General features: G+C 50.1%; 1 protein-coding gene across 25 annotated transcripts in view, besides 1 other annotated feature; it reads left to right on the plus strand.

Moving 5' to 3' along the window:
- Window positions 1-20,605, plus strand: part of CUX1 (cut like homeobox 1) — a 467,952-nt gene that overhangs the window by 389,061 nt on the left and 58,286 nt on the right. For 19 of the 25 annotated variants that reach the window (NM_001202543.2, XM_047419908.1, XM_047419912.1 and 16 more), the window contains one exon: window positions 47-103. The exons of the other annotated variants lie outside the window; for them this stretch is intronic. In NM_001202543.2, coding sequence (NP_001189472.1) covers window positions 47-103 — 57 coding nt within the window. The remainder of the gene's footprint in view (window positions 1-46; window positions 104-20,605) is intronic. 25 annotated transcript variants of the gene reach the window in all.
- Window positions 6,718-7,027: an enhancer, noted in NCBI's record as "active region_26420". NCBI's record gives its function as "activates an Ori minimal core promoter by ATAC-STARR-seq in GM12878 lymphoblastoid cells {active_cell/tissue: GM12878}" and the evidence as "EXISTENCE:reporter gene assay evidence [ECO:0000049][PMID:35858748]".

A 20,605-nucleotide genomic window follows, 5' to 3' on the forward strand; every position in this document is an offset into this window, starting at 1 on the left:
CCTGGGCCGCGTTCCTTCCTTTAATTATAACCTTTTTCTACTTTAGTCCTCCACTCCGTGACATCGCTCCAGGACCCGCTGCAGCAGGGCTGTGTGAGCTCAGGTAAGCAGCCAGTTTCTGTTGCTTTTGCATGAAATGTCTCACTGCCTTTTCTGTTGTCCCGTGCTGTGGTCTGTCCCGGCGAGACTCCGAGGGACCGCACATTCTGGATTTGGGGAGCTGAAATATGGCATCCTATCTGCAAACGGGGTCCCTCTCTGTGTCAGTTTCTAATGGAGAGCGAGCTGACAGTGCATGGAGGGACTCTGCCAAGATTTGCACGCCCACTGTCATCCTTTGTCGGCCCAGAGCCTTGTGTTCAGGGCTGGGGTCTAAGTCGGAGACAGATTCCCCACTCAGGGGGCTTACCGTCTGATAGGAAGGGATAAAGCACGGGCACACGTCCCTCTCCTGGTGGGGTCATGTCGGGGGACTTCTTATCTAACCGGAAGACATCCAGGCAGCCTCTGAGCAAGAAAATGGGGAGCTTTGAGCTTGAGCAGTGGGAAAGGTAGGGTAGCAGAAAGGAAATGGCCAGGAAGCCCCTGAAGACAGCTCAGGTGTGAACGAATGGAGAGCTGGGGACTGAGATCTGAGCCTGGGAGCAGGTGGTGGCGGAGAGTGGTGGCTGCAGGCTGAGAAACTCGGGCTCCTTCCTGTCTGCATTTCACAGCCTCGAGGTCTCCAACCACACTTGTTCTCTTTGCCACATGGTGCCTGGACACAGCCCACCGAGGCTGACCCATGGCCACGGCTCCCAGGCTCTCGTCTGCGCCCCCCCGCCTCCCTTCTCGTGCGCCAATCCCACACTTGGAGCTGAGCTTTTCACAGCCAGCTTTTAGGAACAGCCAGCACTGTGAGCTGGTCCTCTTTTTCCCTTTCTGTATTTTTCTAAACATGTTGATTCGTCTCCATATCCCATTGATTCATTGAAAACACAAACAAAGCTAACAGGAGCACGAAGCCCGCCAGCTTGCCGCAAGCTCCACGAGGGGGAACATGTGTAGCACGGGGAACAGCTGTGTGGCAGTGGCTGCTGCTTCTACAAGAGACCAAACCCTCATACAGATGCAGCCGGGGCACCTCGGTGGCATCCAAGTCCCCAGTTGAGAGTTCTGCGTGTTTTCCGTGTTCTGATTTGACTCTGACCAACGTGGGGGTCGAGAGGCTGCATCTCACCCGCGCCGTGGGTCTTCTTGGCTGGACATCTAGGTGGAGCGGGTGCCCATTGGAAGAAGGGATCACTCATTCTGGCTTGGCCAATTTAATTAGAAAGTACCAAGAACTAATCCAGCACTGGCTCGAGTTCAGAATACTTCAGGGGAAATAATGGACATAGCTGTTTGTGCTGGAGTTTTACGGACGTCTGCTTGGAAAGTTAGCCTTGACCCCCTGCTCTAACGGGAAGTTGGCCTTCTTGAAACTCACGAGAGTATTTGATTCCATTGAGGCAGGACTGAACTTGGCAGAAAGTGACTAATGTATTCTAGATCAAAACCCCTTGTTAGACCAGGTGCGGTGGCTCACGCCTGTAATCCCAACACTTTGGGAGGCCGAGGTGGGTGCATCACCTGAGGTCAGGAGTTTAAGACCAGCCTGGCCAACGTGGTGAAACCCCGTCTCTACTAAAGATACAAAAAAATTAGCTGAGTGTGGTGGTAGGAGCCTGTAATCCCAGCTAGTCAGGAGGCTGAGGCAGGAGAATTGCTTGAACCCAGGAGGCGGAGGTTGCAGTGAGCTGAGATCGTACCACTGCACTCTAGCCTGGGCAACAGAGCGAGACTCCATCTCAAAAACAAAAAAAACCCTCGTCCTACATAAAACAGGAAGTCTCCCCTGGTGCCAGGCCTGCTAATGATCGATGCCAGAAGCAACTTCTATGTGACGGAACAAATCCTTGAAGAATGACGTTTTACTTTGTATTGTAACGGATCATCGCCACTGTGCTGGAACGTTTGTACAACAGTCACATTTCAAACCTAGGAAAAACACACTAGGCTCCTAAGAGGAATGTAAATGATATTTGTAAAATATCAATTGACTTTATAGAATAAAGTTAGTTAAGACTCCTGGGCAATCTCGCAGATTGGAAGCAGGAGAGAGAAAAAGGCGATGAGCCCCTGGATGAAACGGAACAGAGTGTAGAAGTTGCCAGTGGTTTTTGTGAAGAGGCAGCAGATGGGTGTGTCTCCCCCACCCGCCTTCCATGTCATTCCAGCAAGAGGGGAGGTTGAGCACAAATCACTTACCCAAAATCTTGAAGTCATAGGAAAGCCACCAGCAGAAGCAAAAATCGTGGTGACTAGGGAGAAAAATGGAAAAAGATTTCTTATTTGCAGGAAAAAATATTTTTTTTTTTTTGAGACAGAGTCTCGCTGTGTCACCCAGGCTGGAGTGCAGTGGCACAATCTCAGCTCACTGTAACCTCCACCCCCCCAGGTTCAAGTGATTCTCCTGCCTCAGCCTCCTGAGTAGCTGGGAATACAGGTACCCATCACCACGCCCGGCTAATTTTTGTAGTTTCGGTAGTGACAGAGTTTCAACATGTTGGCCAGGCCGGTCTCGAACTCCTGATCTCAGGTGATCCCCCCACCTTGGCCTCCCAAAGTGCTGGGATTACAGGTGTGAGCCACTGCACCTGGCCAGGAAAATTTTAAAAAATTGTATAGCATAATGATGGCCAAGTGAAAATATTTCTCTGGACCAGGAAGACTAGGAGGGCTTTGCCAGAAAGAAAAGAGATTATCATATGGTTTTCCTCGTCTGAATCTTTACTATCAGAGGTTACTTTTCAAGGGAGTTTCACACAGAGGCTCACATCTGTAATCCAAGCACTTTGGGAAGCCAAGGCAGACAGATCACCTGAACTTAGGAGTTCGAGACCAGCCTGGGCAACATGGTGAAACCCCATCTCTACAAAAAATGCAAAAATTAGCCAGGTGTGATGGCATGCACCTGTAGTTCCAGCTACTTGGGGGACTGAGGCGGGAGGATTGCTTGAGCCCAGGAGGTCGAGGCTGCAGTAAGCCAAGATCACGCCACTGCACTCCAAGCTGGGTGACAGACGGAGACCCTGTCTCAAAAAAAAACAAAAGAGAAAAGAAAAAAAGCTATGTTCACAGTATATGGAGTGTGTGTGTGTGTGTGTGTCTGTGTGATGGAGTCTCACTCTGTCGCCTAGGCTGGAGTGCAGTGGCACAATCTCAGCTCACTGCAACCTCCGCCTCCTGGGTTCAGGCGATTCTCCTGCCTCAGCCTCCCAAGTAGCTGAAACTACAGGCATGCGCCAGCACACCCAGCTAGTTGTATTTTTAGTAGAGACGGGGTTTCGCCCTGTTGGCCAGGTTGGTCTTGAACTCCCAACCTCAGGTGATCCACCCGCCTTAGCTTCCTAAAGTGCTGGGATTATAGGCATGAGCCACCGTGCCCCACCTAGTATATGGAATTTAATTTAGAAAAATAGAGTTGCTAACAGTGGTTTTTAGTAAATCCTTGGGATTAGTGACATGAGAGACTAGAATCTTCCTTGACTGTGTCTCTGTGGAAGCTTCCAGCAGTGCTGCCCCTGAAGCAGGAGAGCGAGCCTCTGTCCTAAGATTGCTACAGGATTCCGATTCCCTGTTCTTCCCATGGCTACCCCAGAATCCTTTCAAGAGGCCCCCAGACCCAGAAGATGCTCCCTCCATTGCTTGCCTCAAGTAGCTCGCCGTGGTAGAACCAATGTCTGCAGAAAGGTCATTGCAAGCCCGGCTTGGCTTCTTCCTGAATGTCAGTGAGAAATGCTCAGTGCTTGAGATTCTGGGCCTCGAAGATGGACTGGCGGTTGGTTTTCCTTCCCAGGTAGGCAGGGACTTTGGACAACTTGCTCAGCCAGCCACAGCCCTGCAGTAAGGGAATCGGGCTTACAGCGGAGTCCGTGGGGGCGGATGGCTCTGTGCTCTGTGCTCGGTTACCATGGTGATCAGGTGCCCTGCGCTAGAGTGGCCTCGCCCATCTGAACAGCAAGCTGCTGGCCCAGGAGTCTATTTTCTTTTCCTCACTGAGAGCTCCCGTCAGCCTTTTCCTGCCGGGCTCTGTTGCCTTGTCTGTCCTTCCGTTTTCCTTAATGACTTAGACGCCAATTTGCCAAAAAGGAGAGAGAAACTGACATTTCATTCACATCATCACTTTTTCCTCTTGGTGGATACAACTGGTTCTGAATGTTCCTCTAAGAATCCGAGCATGGGGGTGACGGGCTTGGGCATTAAGGAAATTTGATGCCATTTTTAAGCAGCAGCGTCACTAGTGACCCACCACTTTTTCTTAGACACTGTTGAGGCCTTGAAAAGGCGTAAGGTGAGCGGTAGGTTCCATGCCAGTCATGAGTAACTTTTTTTTTAAGAAAAAGGATTTTTAAGAGACAAATCTTCAGATCAGTTACCTGTTCATAGATTTCCTGGTACGTCTTAACTTTCTACAAATATTTTTTTTTGTTTGCTTCTTGCAAAATGCCCAGCACCTTGGGATATAAAGGGGGGTGTAGTTATAACCAGGGTCATCTTTGATCTCATTTGGAAAACTTCATTTCAAGATGGAGTTGCAGGTGGTCCTTGGGGACTGATTCTGCAAGCCCCTTTTGTCTGTCAGTCATTCCAGGCTTCATCCCTCATTTCTGGACCTCACACTACTTAACCATACCAAATGTTCATAGAGGAGAAGGTAGAGGCTCATTAAGGCTTGTTTGCTCAGAGTGTGGCCTTCTTATCATTTAGCAATTTATTGTATCTTATTCTATTTATTTTATTTATTTTTTATAGACAGACGGGGACTCACTCTGTTGCCCAGGCTGGAGTGCAGTGACACAATCACAGCTCAATACAGCCTCAATCTCTCAGGCTCAAACAATCCTCTCTCCTCAGCCTCCTGAGTAGCTGGGACTTATAGACACTTTCCACCACACTCAGCTAATTTTTTTATTTTTTGTAGAAGTGGGTCTCTCTTTTTTATTCGTTTTTGTTTTTGTTTTTTGAGATGGAGTCTCGTTCTGTCACCTGGGCTGGAGTGCAGTGGCGCGATCTCGACTCACTGCAACCTACACCTCCGGGGTTCAAGTAATTCTCCTTCCTCAGCCTCCCAAGTAGCTGGGATTACAGGTGCCTGCCACCACACCCAGGTAATTTTTGTATTTTTAATAGAGATGGGGTTTCACCATGTTGGCCAGGCTAGTCTCCAACTCCTGACCTCGGGTGATCCTCCCACCTTGGCCTCCCAAAGTGCTAGGATTACAGGTGTAAGTCACCACACCCGGCCTTTTTTATTCTTTATTTCCAAATACCCAAGTAACCTGGTCTCTGTTGCCAGGGCTGGTCTCAAACTCCTGGCCTCCCAAAGTGCTGGGATTACCGATGTGAGCCACCATACCCGGCCACTTTGTAACTTTTTAATGTGGGAGCGTTTCATTGCTGTGGCTAACAAGCTGTTACGTCTGCATTCACACTGGCTTCAGGTGTATTATGGCTATCCAGGTGGAAGGATGGTCCCCTGCCCTTGGCTGAATCGTGAAATACCCAGCTCTTTCCTGGCGTGTTAGGAATGATGGGTTCCAAGCCTTCTCTGCTGCCTGTTGCTGTTCCCAGTCAGCCAACAGAGTATCAGTTGCCTCTTTGAGAAGACAGCTGCTATGGTCTGTCTCTAATGTGGGTGGTCCAATGTGTGCCCCTCTTTGACGTGAAGCCCACGGGGCCGTGGGCTGTCCATGACCTTGTACAACCAGGAGATTCCCCTTGGCTGCAGCCCCTATCGCGGACAGGTCCACGTTCCTTTTGAATGTGCATGCGTATCATGGTCATGGCTCTTAGCTGGTTCCCACCAGACAGCCAGGAACACGTGTCCAGGGCTCGTGAGCTTTGAACTCTGCAGTAAGATTCTAAAGCAGTGTCCTTGATAAGCAGTCAGTCGGCTCTCCCACATTCATGGCTAACAGTCAGTGTCGGGGGCATGTGGATAGCATGTTCATAGGGACAGGAGAGGCTGATTGCACCCCTGGGCATTCCACAGCACTGTCTAAAGCAGGCAGGGGCCAGGCGCGGTGGCTCACACCTGTAATCCCAGCCCTTTGGGAGGCCGAGGTGGGTGGATCACTTGAGGTCAGAAGTTTGAGACCAGCCTGGCCAACATGGTGAAACTCGGTCTCTACTAAAAATATAAAAATAAGTCAGGCATGGTGGCTTGCACCTGTGATCCCTGCTACTCAGGAGGCTGAGGCAAGAGTATCACTTGAACCCAGGAGGTGGAGGCTGCAGTGAGCAATGATAGCATCACTGCACTGCAGCCTGGGTGACAAAGCGAGACCCTCTCCGCCCGCAAAAAAAGAATACCTCTTCAATTGGAGACATTAAAGAATCAGCTTTTCGGCTGGGCGCAGTGGCTCACACCTGTAATCCCAGCACTTTGAGAGGCCGAGGCAGGTGCATCACCTGACGTCAGGAGTTCGAGACCAGCCTGGCCAACATGGGGAAACCCCGTCTCTAGTAAAAATACAAAAATTAGCCAGGCGTGGTGGTGCACACCTGTAATCCAGCTCCTTGGGAGGCTGAGGCAGGAGAATTGCTTGAACCCGAGAGACCCAGGTTGCAGTGGGCCGAGATTGCACTATTGCACTCCAGCAGGGTGACAAGAGTGAAACTCCATCTAAAAAAAAAAAAAAAAAAAAAAAAACTCAACCTGATCTCGGCTGAGCTAAGATGCAAAGGGACTGGCTGTGCCACTGTGAACCCTTCCAGAGGCAGGTGAGGCAGGCCGCGCGGGAGCAGCACGGGAAGTCCCGGCTGATGAGATGAGGCTGGGGGGCCGCCCCAAGAGCCACAGGAGGAAGGGCACATGCGCTTCTCAAAAGTTCCTTGATGTGTGATGTATAGGGATCACTCAGGGACCTTGCCGGAAAGCCCCTTTGTCACTGTGCGTGACCTGCTTGTTCAGTTCCCCAAGCGCCTCCAGATGCTTGTGGGATTCAAGATGGGGGCTGGCCACATGTTGCTGGAACCAGCACCCTGTGACATTTATGCAGGAGAACATGGGTATTTGAAGGGTCTTTTGTTCCTAGGACAGCCCTGCCTGGGGGACCCTGCACACACAGATCCTGCACAGATGTCAGGGGCAGCCAGTGCTGAGTACCACAGCCCACTTTAGGTTTTGTTTCAAAGCAACAAACGTCGCTGTCATCAAGTGAGCAAGGCAGCCTACGCAGGCTGCCAGCACCGCCCCAGCACCCTGCAGTCCCACCTTCCAGCACCACTCGTCACACACCCTTGGGGAAGGCTGCTTTGCCAGAACTCGGCCCCCCAAAGTCTCTGTTCCTAGAGCAGAATTTGTCCCTGTGCCTCACCCAAAGAGAGGGAAGTCATAGCCCAGAGTCACCGATTTATTTGACTTTTTTGTTTTTATTATGATTTGCAGGATTTTTTCCAAGAAGTAAAATGCACCATAGTTACAAAATGCAAGCATTCAAACTTACAGTCTTTTTAAGAAATCGGTCACCATCCCTCCCTCATCTTCCTGTCACACACCACCCCCACCCCCACACCCCACCCCACCACCATCCCCAGTTTGTCATGTGTCCTTCAGGACAGTCATGCACCTAAATATTTATTCCACGCAGATGGGGGGCGTGCAGGCCTCAAAAAGGCCGTGTGCCTTGCTTTTCTCACTTAGTAACACACCGTGGAGACCTTCCTCCATCAGCACATGGAGAATTTTCCCTTTTTGTGTGTACATGTGTGAGAGGGAGTCTCGCTCTGTCACCCAGGCTGGAGTGCAGTGGCACAATCTCGGCTCACTGCAGCCTCCGCCTTCCGAGTTCAAGCAGTTCTCCTGCCTCAGCCTCCAAGTAGCTGGGATCACAGGTGTGCACCACCACACCTGACTAATTTTTTGTATTTAGTAGAGACGGGGTTTCACCATGTTGCTCAGGCTGGCCTCGAACTCCTGACCTCTGGTGATCCACCCATCTTGGCCTCCCAAAGTGCTGGGGTTACAGGTGTGCACCACCACACCCAGCCAGATGTCTGCTTTTAAAACAGAATCTAGTCGCATCTTCCCACCTCCTTTGGTGGAGATTGTCCCTTGCAGATGGTGCAGGGTACTCCTGGTGCCGCAGTCCTGTGAGAGGTGATCTATATGTGCCTTTCCAAAGTCTCGACTTCTACAAAATGCTATTCCATCCTTGGAAGTTGCCTGTTCATTGACCAATTCCTTAAAGTGGACACAAAACCTTGAGCTTCCAGAGTAAGACTATAGGGCCTAGGTCATTGCTTAGGCCATTTGGGGCCAAGCTAGTATGGAACCAGGCCAACTAGGCTAGACACAGCCGGCGAGGCTGAGGGCTCACATAACTCTCGTTCTTCCCGTCGCTTTCCCTGGACCCTCCATCCTGGTGCTCCCTGGTTTCCCCTTCTGAAAAGGCCCGACAGGCCCAGTCCAGCTTGTAGACACATCCCGTTCTCTCCCCTTCAGGCTTTCCATAGAAAACAGAATTTACAGCACATTGGGCATTCAGTACAAGAGGCAAAAGTAGGTCATAGGAGCAAATGAGGACTTCAGTTTTCAGTGGTTGAATTCTAGGGAAGGAATGAAGAAGCTTAAATGCCTAGAAACCCTCAGGTGATTGCAGAAAGGGGGGTGGGAATAAAACAAGGGAGTCCACATGCTGGTGTGGTCTCTGTGCCACTCACAGAGCTGATGTCCGTAATCCTTAATCAGTAAGTGAGGCCGGGCTCAGTGGCTCACACCTGTAATCCCAGCACTTTGGGAGGCCAAGGCGGGTGGATCACCTGAGGTCAGGAGTTCAAGACCGGCCTGGCCAACATGGCAAAACCCTGTTTCTACTAAAAATACAAAAAAATTAGCTGGGTGTGGTGGCGGATGCCTGTATTCCCAGCTACTCGGGAGGCTGAGGCAGGAGAATTAACTCGAACCCAGAGGTGGTTGCACTGAGGCGAGATCACGCCACTGCACTCCAGCCTGGGCAACAAGAGCAAAACTTCATCTCAAAAATAATAATAATAATAATAAGTGGAAATGGTTCCCTTCTCTTACGGATGGAGTAAACCAAGGCTCAGAGATAAAAGGTGATTTGCCCCAATCAAGAAGAAGGTGGTGGCCAGGCGTGGTGGCTGACGCCTGTAATCCCAACACTTTGGGAGGCTAAGACTCAAGGATCGCTTGAGTCCAGGAATTTGAGACCAGCCTGAGCAACATAGCAAGACCCCATCTCTACAGAAAATTTAAAATTTAGCCGAGCATGGTGGTGTGCGCCTGTAGTCCCAGCTACTCAGGAGGCTGAGGCAGGAGGATTGCCTGAGCCCAGGAGTTGAATCAGCAAATCAGTGACAGCATGGAAGCCACATTTACTAGGTTTGGCTGTTGGAAAATGTGTAATCCACCTGGCCTAGGCTGCATGGAGTGTCCATGCTCCTTTGAAACCTCTTCTGGTCTAAATTCAGTGAACGTATACACACTGGCTTGAGGTCCTCTGCCTGCTACAGGGCAGCCCTGCCTTTCAGCTGTCACGGCCCCCCGGAGCCATGCCGACACCCAGGCCCCAGCCCCATGCGGACTGGCCCGAGGGACCTGCCCCGCTCCCGGTGAGGATAAGGAGGGGAGTTTCTTAATGGCATTGCCCTGGATAGATTGGGAGCCAGGCAGGAGGCTTCCATCGGGGCCTCCTCTAGATTTTGCGTTTACTTCTTCCCTTTGGAACCGGATTCCTAAATATAGCCCGAGTCTGAATTGGCAGATGTTGGGTCTGTCCTTTCCTTGACGGCCAAAATTAGTCTGTCATTTGGCACCTAAATAAAGCAGCCAAACTACCTTTATACCAGCTTTGCAATTAGGCGGTAGTTGGAACATTCTATTTGATAAGGAAACTTTTATGGATGCCTTAGCAGCACCTCTGAACCCAGGAGGCTGAGGAGAGAGGACACCCGGGCCCCAGAGGGACACTCCTTCCTCGCCATCAGGCCTTCTCATTCCAGAGTTAAGGTCAATTTTGTTCCATGTGGCTTAAAAACACCTCGTGAATGTGGAAAAGACAGTCAATGCTCCCCAGAAATAGCATTCTAAGAGCATGGCAATGGTTACTCCAACTTTTTTTTTTTTTTTTTTTTTTTTTTTTTGCAAGCAAAGAAAAATCTGTCCAGAGTGCCTGGAGCTGGGTTAGTGCAGGGACTCCCCAGGGGCAGCAGAAAGATGTTATAATCAATTATCACATCATAACACTGATGTATGATAATTACTGAGTGTTTCTCCTGAGATAGTGCAGCATTTGGCTGGGATGCCGCTCTTTCACGGTCCACTGCCTGATTAATATGCAAATAATAGGCTGATTGCATGATGAATGCAGAAATGAGTTCGCTGATAACGTGAGCACCGAAGCGGGAAGATGATAAATTACTTTTACTGACTGTCCTACATTAAGTACCCTTTCTCAACAATTTCATCACAAATTAAGTAAAGCAGTATGGAGAGATTAGGAGGACGTGTAAAATAATGTACCTTAATGGTTTTTCTAATACCATCGTGGAAGACGAAAATCTCAACTTGGTTCTGCCCGGGTCTTTGTAGGGCCAAGTGAGTTCACTCACCTGGGCATTGAGTGGAAGACAGGAGGCACCCCACCACACCGGCGTGTTCCACGGGCCATGATCAGCCATGGATTCTCTGAGGAATATCCCATTGCAGCCCAGACATTACCCGCACACTGGGCCAACAGGCAGCATCATGGAGGGAGGAGGACAGGCTGCTCTCGGGGCAGACGCAGCATCCTCCACACAGATGGGCACCCCCAAGCCTGCTGTCCACCATGTGCCTGCAGGAAAGGAGCATTTCTGGGCTGCAGGCCTGGAAGACTCGGAAAGAAAACAACATTTAAGACCTCCTGCCTGGGCACAGTGGCTCACGCCTATAATCCCAGCACTTTGGGAGGCCGCAGCGGGAGGATCACTTGAGGCCGGGAGTTTGAGACCAGCCTGGACAACATGGGGAAACCCCATCTCTACAAAAAATACAAAAATTAGCCAGGCGTAGTGGTGTGCATCTATAATCTATAGTCTATAGTCCCAGCTACTTTGGAGGCTGAGGCGGAAGGATCATTGGACCCTAGGAGGTGGAGGTTGCAGTGAGCTGAGATCACGCCACTGCACTCCAGCCTGGGCAGCAGAGCAACACCCCATCTCAAAATTTAACAAACAAAAAAAGACCTCCTTGACCTCTTTTTAGCTCTTCCAAGTCTCAGAAATCTGGAAAAATTAATTTCACTATTAGAATGGCAGTGGGCACACCGGCCAGAGAGCATGACTTGGTAAGGGATGGGTAGGTTTGTCCAAAGCCAGAATTGAACCCTTGAGAAAAAGAGGGCGTGCGTGTGTGCGCGCACACACACACTCTCCCCCCCACACACACACACCCACACACGCACACACACTCCCACACACACACTCTCCCACACACACACTCCCACACACACACACACACTCCCCACACACACACCCCCACACACGCACACACACACACTCTCCCACACACACTCACACACACACACTCCCCCACACACACTCCCACACGCACTCTCCACACACACATGCACACAGAGTCCCACACACACTTCTGCACACACACACTCTTCCACACACACTCTCCCACACACACACTCTCCCACACACACCCCCACACACACTCTCCCACCACACACACACACACATTCTCTCTCCCTCACACACACATTCTCTCACACACACATTATCTCACACACACACACACACACACATTTGCAGTGATTAATCTTTGATTACAGCAAAGCAATTTAACTAGAGGCTTTGTTTTTTCCCGTCTTAGTAATATATATTTAGACTGTTTGTATGACATACATTTTGTCTTAATGCACAGGGACGCATTGATAAGTGTTCGTACACACAGCTGGCTTGGTAATAAGGTTATTGAAGGTAATTTGAAAGCATCATTTCTAAATCAGTATGGATCTGCAGAAAAGCCGGAACAAGGCGAGCCTGTGCCCCTGAAGCAGGGCCATCTGTGTCACCCAGTGTCCCTTCAGCAATCTGGCCAGACTGAGTTCACTACCAAAATCGAATTGTAATTTAAGCAGGGTTTTTAATTTTTAATATCTTCAAGCTCTGCTTTTGATATGCTTATTTCCTTAAGAGCTTATAAAAGATACACAAGCCAACTGAGCCCAGAGGGAAAGTGACTTTCCACTCCGAATCCCCGGCAGGTCCCCTCCCCGCCCGCGGGTGAGCTCTGGTTCTGCGCAGGTTCCCGCCAACCACAGGGCCTCATCACCTCTGCAGCTTCCTCCTCGTGCATTTCAGGCCAACACAGAATTTCTAAGATCATTTCTCCCCACCGTACCTTCCCATGTCGGGGAGATGAAAGAGGAGAGTCGAAAACCATCCCCAGAGGGAGGGAGGCTCCAGATGGATGCCATGGTGTCTAGAGGGAGGGAGGCTCTGGATGGATGCGATGGTGTCTAGAGGGAGGGAGGCTCTGGATGGAAGCAATGGTGTCTAGAGGGAGGGAGGCTCTGGATGGACACGATGGTGTCTAGAGGGAGGGAGGATCTGGATGGACGTGATGGTGTCTAGAGGGAGGGAGGCTCTGGATGGATGTGATGGTGTCTAGAGGGAGGGAGGCTCTGGATGGACACGATGGTGTCTAGAGGGAGGGAGGATCTGGATGGACGTGATGGTGTCTAGAGGGAGGGAGGCTCTGGATGGATGCGATGGTGTCTAGAGGGAGGGAGGATCTGGATGGACACGATGGTGTCTAGAGAGAGGGAGGCTCCGGATGGATGCGATGGTGTCTAGAGGGAGAAAGGCTCTGGATGGACACGATGGTGTCTCCTCTAGTTAGAGGAGCTCATGGTTGACTTCTCAGAGCAACTTCTCACTCGCTTGGCAGCAGGGACCTGTCACACCCCTGTGCTGTGGCCAGGACCATGTTGCCTGCACTGCTGCACCTCCAGACCCTGCCCTGACACTGCTCTCCCCAGAAACACCCTCGTCCCAGACTCTTTGTTTGAGTGACCTGCTTAGTGACTTCGGCCTCCCGCTTTGGTTACAAGATGTGGGGGCGCAGGGTCTGCCTTGCTCACGGCTGTACCCCCACACCTGGCACATGGAGGGTTTCCCCATTGTGGAAAGCTCAGGTCCCATCTTCAAGTAACTTAGAAGTCAGGTTTGGGGAGGTAAAATACAAATCACACAAGTTAAACAACCTTGCTCTAATTGAAACAGGTTTTCTTTGGGGCCAGATATGGTGGCTCATGCCTGTAATCCCAGCACTTTGGGAGGCCGAGGCAGGAGAATCACTTGAGCCCAGGAGTTCAAGACCAGCCTGGGCAACATAGTGAGACCCTATCTCGACAAATAATAATTATAGTAAATTAGCTGGAATGGTGGTATGTGCTTGTAGTCCCAGCTGCTCAGGAGGCTGGGGCAGAGGGATTGCTTGAGCCCAGGAGGTCGATGCTGCAGTGAGCCGTGATTACGCCACTGCACTCCAGCCTGGGCAACAGGGTGAGACCATGTCTCAAGAAAAAAATCAAGAGAGAAAGAATTTTGGCTCCCATGTCATTATAAGAGTTTCTCGGGCAAACCTAAAAACATATATTGTTGGCCAGGCACGGTGGCTCAGGCCCATAATTCTAGCACTTTGGGAGTCTGAGGCGGGAAGATCACTAGAGTCCAGGAGTTCAAGACCAGCTTGGGCAACATAGTGAGGCCCCCCATCTCCACAAAAAATTAAAAATAACCAGGCATGGTGGTGCACGCCTGTCGTTCCAGCTACTCAGGAGGCAGGGGTGGGAAGATCACTTGAGCCCAGGAGGCAGAGGCTGCAGTGAGCCAAGATTGCACCATTACACTCCAACCTGGACAACAGATCAAGACCCTGCCTCAAAACACACACACACACACACACACACACACACACACACACACTATGGCTATATAGTTGTCACACAGACACACCCCAGCACCTACTAGGTACCAGAGACTTTGAGTTCATCTTATCCTATTCTTTCTTTAGTCCCTGCAGAGGGTGTGTGTGTGTGTGAGAGAGAGAGAGAAAGAAAATCATTGCTGTTCCATTTTATAGAAGAAACTGGCACCCATTGGTGGGGGTGGGGGGGACATTGATCTTTCCTGGAGTGGGGCAGAGCTACCACCCATCCCCTCTAGTTCCTCTGAGGCATCTTCCCTCCCACTCCAACCCTTCTCCACCTCCTCCCCCACACCCCCTACAGAATCTTTCTCAGGTTCTTTCTGCTGTTGAAAAACAGTGATTTGATAGGTTTGGGGCTGGCAAGGGATGTGCCCAAAGCTTGATGCTGCCACTTGTAAGGGCACAGACCTTCCCAGGGGGCAGAAGGCCAACCCAGGACCCTCGGGAATTGGACCTTCGCGTCGGCCCCCCGCTGGCGTCAGGCATAGCTGCTCACCTTCTTGGAAAGAAAGCCATTTTGTAGTTTGGCCACGCTGGGTACGTCTCTGATATTCCTTAGGATGTTGTTGGGCTACTTTTGTTTCTTTCATGGTAAGGAAACGTCCAGTGGCCCAGGAAGGAGGTGCAGAAAGCTCATGAGTGTCTCTGTGACATCTGCTAAAGTCGCTGCATATTTTGTTTCAAGCTCTTGCTAATCAGTCAAGATGCCAGTCTTACTCAAAAGAAGAATACTGTAGGTTTTTATATGGGCGATGTCTAATGGAGATGGAGGACTGTTCCGATGGAGATTCAGCAGGGCTGTGAGCTTCTGCTGCTGGATTCAGAAGCAAGGCTTGGGAACTGAGGAGCCCAGCGTCGCTGCCATGGTTGAGGAAAGCCTTGGTGTTCAGAAATTTCGGAGCTGGTCATGCAAGGGTGTCTCATGTTTGTGATATGAGCCTGTATGACCAAAATACAGGAGGCCAGGGCCGGGCACAGGGCCGGGCACAGTGGGATCACACCTGTAATCCCAGCACTTTGGGAGGCTGAGGCAGGCAGATCACTTGAGGTCAGGAGTTCGAGACCAGCCTGGCCAACATGGCGAAATCCCATCTCTACTAAAAATACAAAAATTAGCTGGGCCTGGTGGCACACACCTGTAATCCCAGCTACTCAGGAGGCTGAGGCAGGAGAACTGCTTGAAACCGGGAGGCGGAGGTTGCAGTTAGCCGAGATTGCACCACTACACTCCAGCCTGGGCAGCAGAGTGAGACTCCATCTGAAAACAAAAAACAAACAGGAGGCCAAATGAGCATTGCTGTTCCCCTTTGATGCTGAGAAACTCACTCCAGGCGTAAACCACCAGGGGGTGTGGTCTGTTTAGAGCACAGGGTCAGTTCCGGAGCAGGTCTGGTGCCCACATCACGATCTGTCCCTCTAAACCTAGCTAGGAAGTATCCAGGCTGGTGGCCACCCTGTTGTGTCTTCTGAAGCTGTCAGCACCGGTCGCTGGAAAGGCCCGCAGGCTGGGAAGAGTCTTTCTGAGCCTCTAGGGCTCCTGCCAGCCCCGGCATGCCCACACCGGGCACCTCAGAGCCTGCCGTGCATCCTTGTATCTTGCACCAGTCCCCGCCACCTCCAGGCCCATCCCTCCCTCGGGCTCTCCTTTCCTCTCCTCCAGGGCTCCCTTGATGTTTTTTATTTGTGTTTTTTTATTTTGTATTTTATTTTATTTACTTATTTATTTTTTTGAGATGGAGTAGCTGGGACTACAGACATATGCCACCACACCTGGCTAATTTTTGTATTTTTAGTAGAGACAGGGTTTTGCCGTGTTAGCAGGGCTGGCCTCAAACTCCTGACCTCAAGCGATCTGCCCACCTCGGCCTCCCAAATGTTGGGATTACAGGCGTGAGCCACCGTGCCCGGCTCCCCTGCTCATTCACACTTAATGTGCCAGGCCACGACCACCTCCCCTCTCCCCTCTCCCCTAACCTCCTCCCTCCTTCCACCCGCCCTTCCATACGTGTCTGTCTGTATAGTCATTGGAATTTCCTGGCTTGGCATGGGCTCAAAGCCGAAACCATGGACAGAATGAAAAGTGGCGCATCAGACCAGCCGCCAGTTAAATAATGTTTGGGTTCTTGTCAGAATGTCACGGAGTACCCTGTCATTTTGTTTCAGCAACTTGTCCTTCTGAATGCACAGTTCGCCTTATGGCATGCCAGCAGTAAAAATGTCACTTACAATAATTACTTTTTGGTGAAAATGCTTGCTGACTTCCCACCTTCAAGCTGTTTTTTACACAGTGGGGAGATAATAAGAAACGACTTTATCCTGACTGCTCAAATGAACACTAAATGGAATTTGGGTTCTTATTACTGCAGATAGAGGGCCGGGTATGGAAATTTCAACAGTAGATCGGAAGAACTGCAGAGAGATGTATCTCCGAGAATTACGGCGGGTGCGGGTTTTCAATTGGCTCCCATTGAAAACTTAAGGCAGCTGTTGTTTGCCTGCTGTTTTTGGAATATAATATTTTTCATAATCCTTTTATAGTTCGTGAATGCCTTGTGTATCTCAGAGGGCCTTGAGTCACTATCTCTGCTTTCTGTAGCTTGCTCACCAAGCTCCTCTTATGCCAGATTCAGTGCCTTGTAAAAAAAAAAAAAAAAAAAAAAAATTAATTCACATAGATGACTTTTTAAATGTAACACCTTACTATTGCTGTCAAAACTGGATGGATGGTACTGTGCAGTGGGGCTTTTAAAATATGCAAATTACCCATTTTCAATTGTCCTGGTCCTGCAGGCTGCAGGGTCCTTGGAAGCGAGGTTTTTGTCTGATTTCTCCCTTATCCCCAAGACACAGAGTAGGTGCTTTAAAAATATGTGAGTAGGCTGGATGCGGTGACTCATGCCTGTAATCCCAGCACTTTGGGAGGCAGAGGTGGGTGGTTCGCTGGAGCCCAGGAGTTCGAGACCAGTCTGGGCAACATAGCAAGACCCCATCTCTCTACAAAATATACAAAAATTAGCCAGGCGTGGTGGCACACACCTGTGGTCCCAGCTACTTTGGGTCATACATTGGCAAGGAGGCTAAAGTGGGAGGGTCTCTGAAGCCCAGGAGGTCGAGACTGCAGTGAACCATGATCACACCACTGCATTCCAGCTGGAGCAACAGAGCAAGACCTCGTCTCAAAAAAAATTAAAATGAGAGTGAAATGACGCAGGAATGACGGTAGGCTGCAATTCAGAATCACGTGGTGTTGGCAGATAGCAGGATGGGTAGGAAGGTCGAGGTTTTCCCCTCCTGATCCTTGCACCATCTGTGTGACTTTAACCAAGTCACGTTGCCTGTCTGAGCCTCTGTTTTCTCACCTGGGATGTAGGGTGTAAATTTCCACCCCAGGGACCATTGGGAGAATTGAATGAAGCCACATGCAGACGCCCTCAGCTCGCTGCTCCATTCACGCCTGGTATGAAATGTGTTTTGGTTCCCTTCCACAATCCTATGAGTGGATCAGCTTTTTGTGACTCATCGTTAAGTCTTCGAGATTCACGCATGTCGATATGTGGGTTGTAGAAAAACTGTGCCTGGGAAGGCAGGCACAGTCACTCTGTCACTAACGCACACTTGGGCGCAGGGTGCAGGCGCCACCAGCTGTACAGGGGCTGTTTAGAATATGGCCCATCCACCTAGCTCCTGGCTGTGTGTCTCGGGGCACCGTATCTTTTTTTTTTTTTTTTTTTTTTTTTTGAGACAGAGTCTCACTCTGTTGCCCAGGCTGGAATGCAATGACACGATGTCAGCTCACTGCAACCGCCACCTCCCAGGTTCAAGCAATTCCCCTGTCTCAGCTTCCCGAGTAGCTGGGCACGCGCCTGGCTAATTTTTGTATTTTTAGTAGAGATGGGGTTTCACCATGTTGGCCAGGCTGGTCTCGAACTCCTGACTTAAGGTGATCTGCCCACCTCAGCCTCCCAAAGTGCTGGGATTACAGGCATGAGCCACTGCGCCTGGCCAGGGCACCATATTTTACCTGTGTAAAATGTGGGAAGTGGCCGGGCACAGTGGCTCACACCTGTAATTCAGCACTTTTGGAGGCCAGGGTGAGAAGATCACTCGAGGCCAAGAGTTTAAGGACCAACCTGGGTAACATAGCAAAACCCTGTCTCTATTTTTTAAAGTTTAAAAAAAGTTTAATGTTTTAAAAAAGATAAATGCATCATACAGGATGTGGCCTTTTGAGTCTGTCGCCAGCGTCCCTGTCATGTGTCAGGCATTGTGGGAGAAATAGCACTCAGTCATAAGATTTATGTTGACTGTAGGTCTTTATAGAAACAAATACATTTGACCAGGTGCAGTGGCTCACCCTGTCAGGGTGGCGAGGGTGAGGGGACCCTCTGTGCAGCGGGGAGAGTTGGCTTCCTGTAGGATTCACTGTCTGTCCTAACAGAACAAAAATATGGTCAATAGAAAAGAAACATTACTTCTCCTTTCAAACATTAGCAGATGGAGCCCTGTGATTAAAACGATACTTTCTGAAACAACAAGGCTTTGCTCTGTTCCATGCAATTAAAAATAATAATAAAAAAAGAAAAAAAGGGTCAGGCGCGGTGGCTCACACCTGTAATCCCAGCACTTTGGGAGGCCAAGGTGGGCGGGTCATCTAAGGTCAGGAGTTGGAGACCAGCCTGGCCAACATTGTGAAACCCCATCTCTACTAAAAATACAAAAATTACCTGGGCTTGGTGGCACGAACCTGTAATCCCAGCTACTCGGGAGGCAGAGGCAGGAGAATCGTTTGAACCCGGGAGGCGGAAGTTGCAGTGAGATCGTGCCACTGCACTCCAGCCTGGGCAACAGAGGGAGACTCTGTCTCAAAAAAGAGAAAAAGAAAAGAATGACTTTCTCCCCAACATGATGTTCTGAGCTCGTGGATTCACGGTGTCTCCAACGCGTCTGTTTGCTGTGGCATCTCTCCATGCCTGTGCAAAAAACATGTACTCAATCCTGTTTCTTTGACCTGAGACCATAGCCACAACTGTGCATGCAGATGTCTGTTGGCGAGTAAACTATCTCCCAGGAAGAGCATGCAGCTTCCAGCTGTCTTCTACATTTTATTTATTTATTTATTTATTTAGAGACAGAGTCTCACTCTGTCCCCAAGGCTGGAGTGCCATGGCACGATCTCAGCTCACTGCAACCTCCGCCTCCCCCATTCAAGCCATTCTCCTGCCTCTGCCTCCCCAGTAGCTGGGATTACAGGCACCCGCCACCATGCCTGGCTGGTTTTTGTATTTTTAGTAGGGAGGGGGTTTCACCACGTTGGCCAGGCTGGTCTCAAACTCCTGTCTTCCAAGTGATCTGCCCGCCTCAGCCTCCCAAAGGTCTTCTGCATTTTAGACTCAGATTGAGAGTGGAGAGACAGATACAAGCCACCTCCAGCAACCAGCCGCCACATGTCACTTTCACATGCCTGGACCTCTCAGGGCTCGGACAGGGCTTTGATCTCAGGGGGCCTGCCTTTGTCTGTAGTCACAGCCTGGAGCACAGAGGGACACCTGTAACAGTAGTGAGCGCCCCTGTTTAGTTCTCCTGGGGGTTCATGATGGCACAAATCCACGCCACTGGCTTGCAAGGCGCACTGGAAGAAAGAACTGTACAGCCTCTGAGTTTCGTGGTGGCTCTGCCTCCGCCAGCACCCAGAACAAAACAGGGAGATGCCACAGCAGCCGGCACCACACTCGGTTTATTAGCCAGACAGCCATGATGTTGACCTTGCTGTGGGTTAAAGGACACAAAACCTGAAGAGAAATCTGTTTATCATTTGGGAAATTCATGCCATCCTTGACAGTATCTGGTGAGCAAGATGGATGATCTGCCAGGCCGGCCCCTCGCATGGGTGAATCACGCCATCCTTACGGTACGGTTCCTCTGCCGGCTTCAGACACAAAAATAACATTTGTGGGGTTTTATATCCAGTTCTCTGGTGACCCGGGGGGTGAGCAGAGAGAAGAAATCTGATTTGTAAGATTCACATTGCCCTAAAGATTTATACGGACCATTTCTGCCTCTTACGCTTGTCTCTTCTACATCTTTCAAAAACCGGTTTGGCATGTGTTTTTCTCTTTGTAACCTGATTTCCCAGGTCAAGGACACAGCCTTATGCGATGGCGGAAGTTTGTGCCGGTTCAGGACGATAAACGGGTTGATCGCTTAAGTTGCAAATGTTTTATTTGAGGTTTTGCTCTTTCTAGGTATGAATACAAAATATTCCTTGTAGTTGGAATGTATTTATGGCAGGTTAGTGTATCCTGGATACAGTATGTCCAGAAAAGGACTCTTAAGATAAATGGTAAATTGAAGTTAAGTTGCTGCTCTATGCTACATTTTCTTTTCAGCCAGGTAACAAGTATTTTGGGCTATCTACTATGGTGCTGATGTTGACTGAGTGACCTGCTAGGGCCCAAGGGAGAAGCAGCAAGAGTAAGACCCTTGGCCAGGCACAGTGGCTCCTGCCTGTAAACCCAGCACTTTGGGAGGCCAAGAAGGGAGGATCACTTGAGGCCAGGAGTTCAGCCTAGGCAA

This window comes from Homo sapiens, chromosome 7, assembly GCF_000001405.40.
Source record: "Homo sapiens chromosome 7, GRCh38.p14 Primary Assembly".
In the NCBI taxonomy this organism is placed as follows: Eukaryota; Metazoa; Chordata; class Mammalia; order Primates; family Hominidae; genus Homo; species Homo sapiens.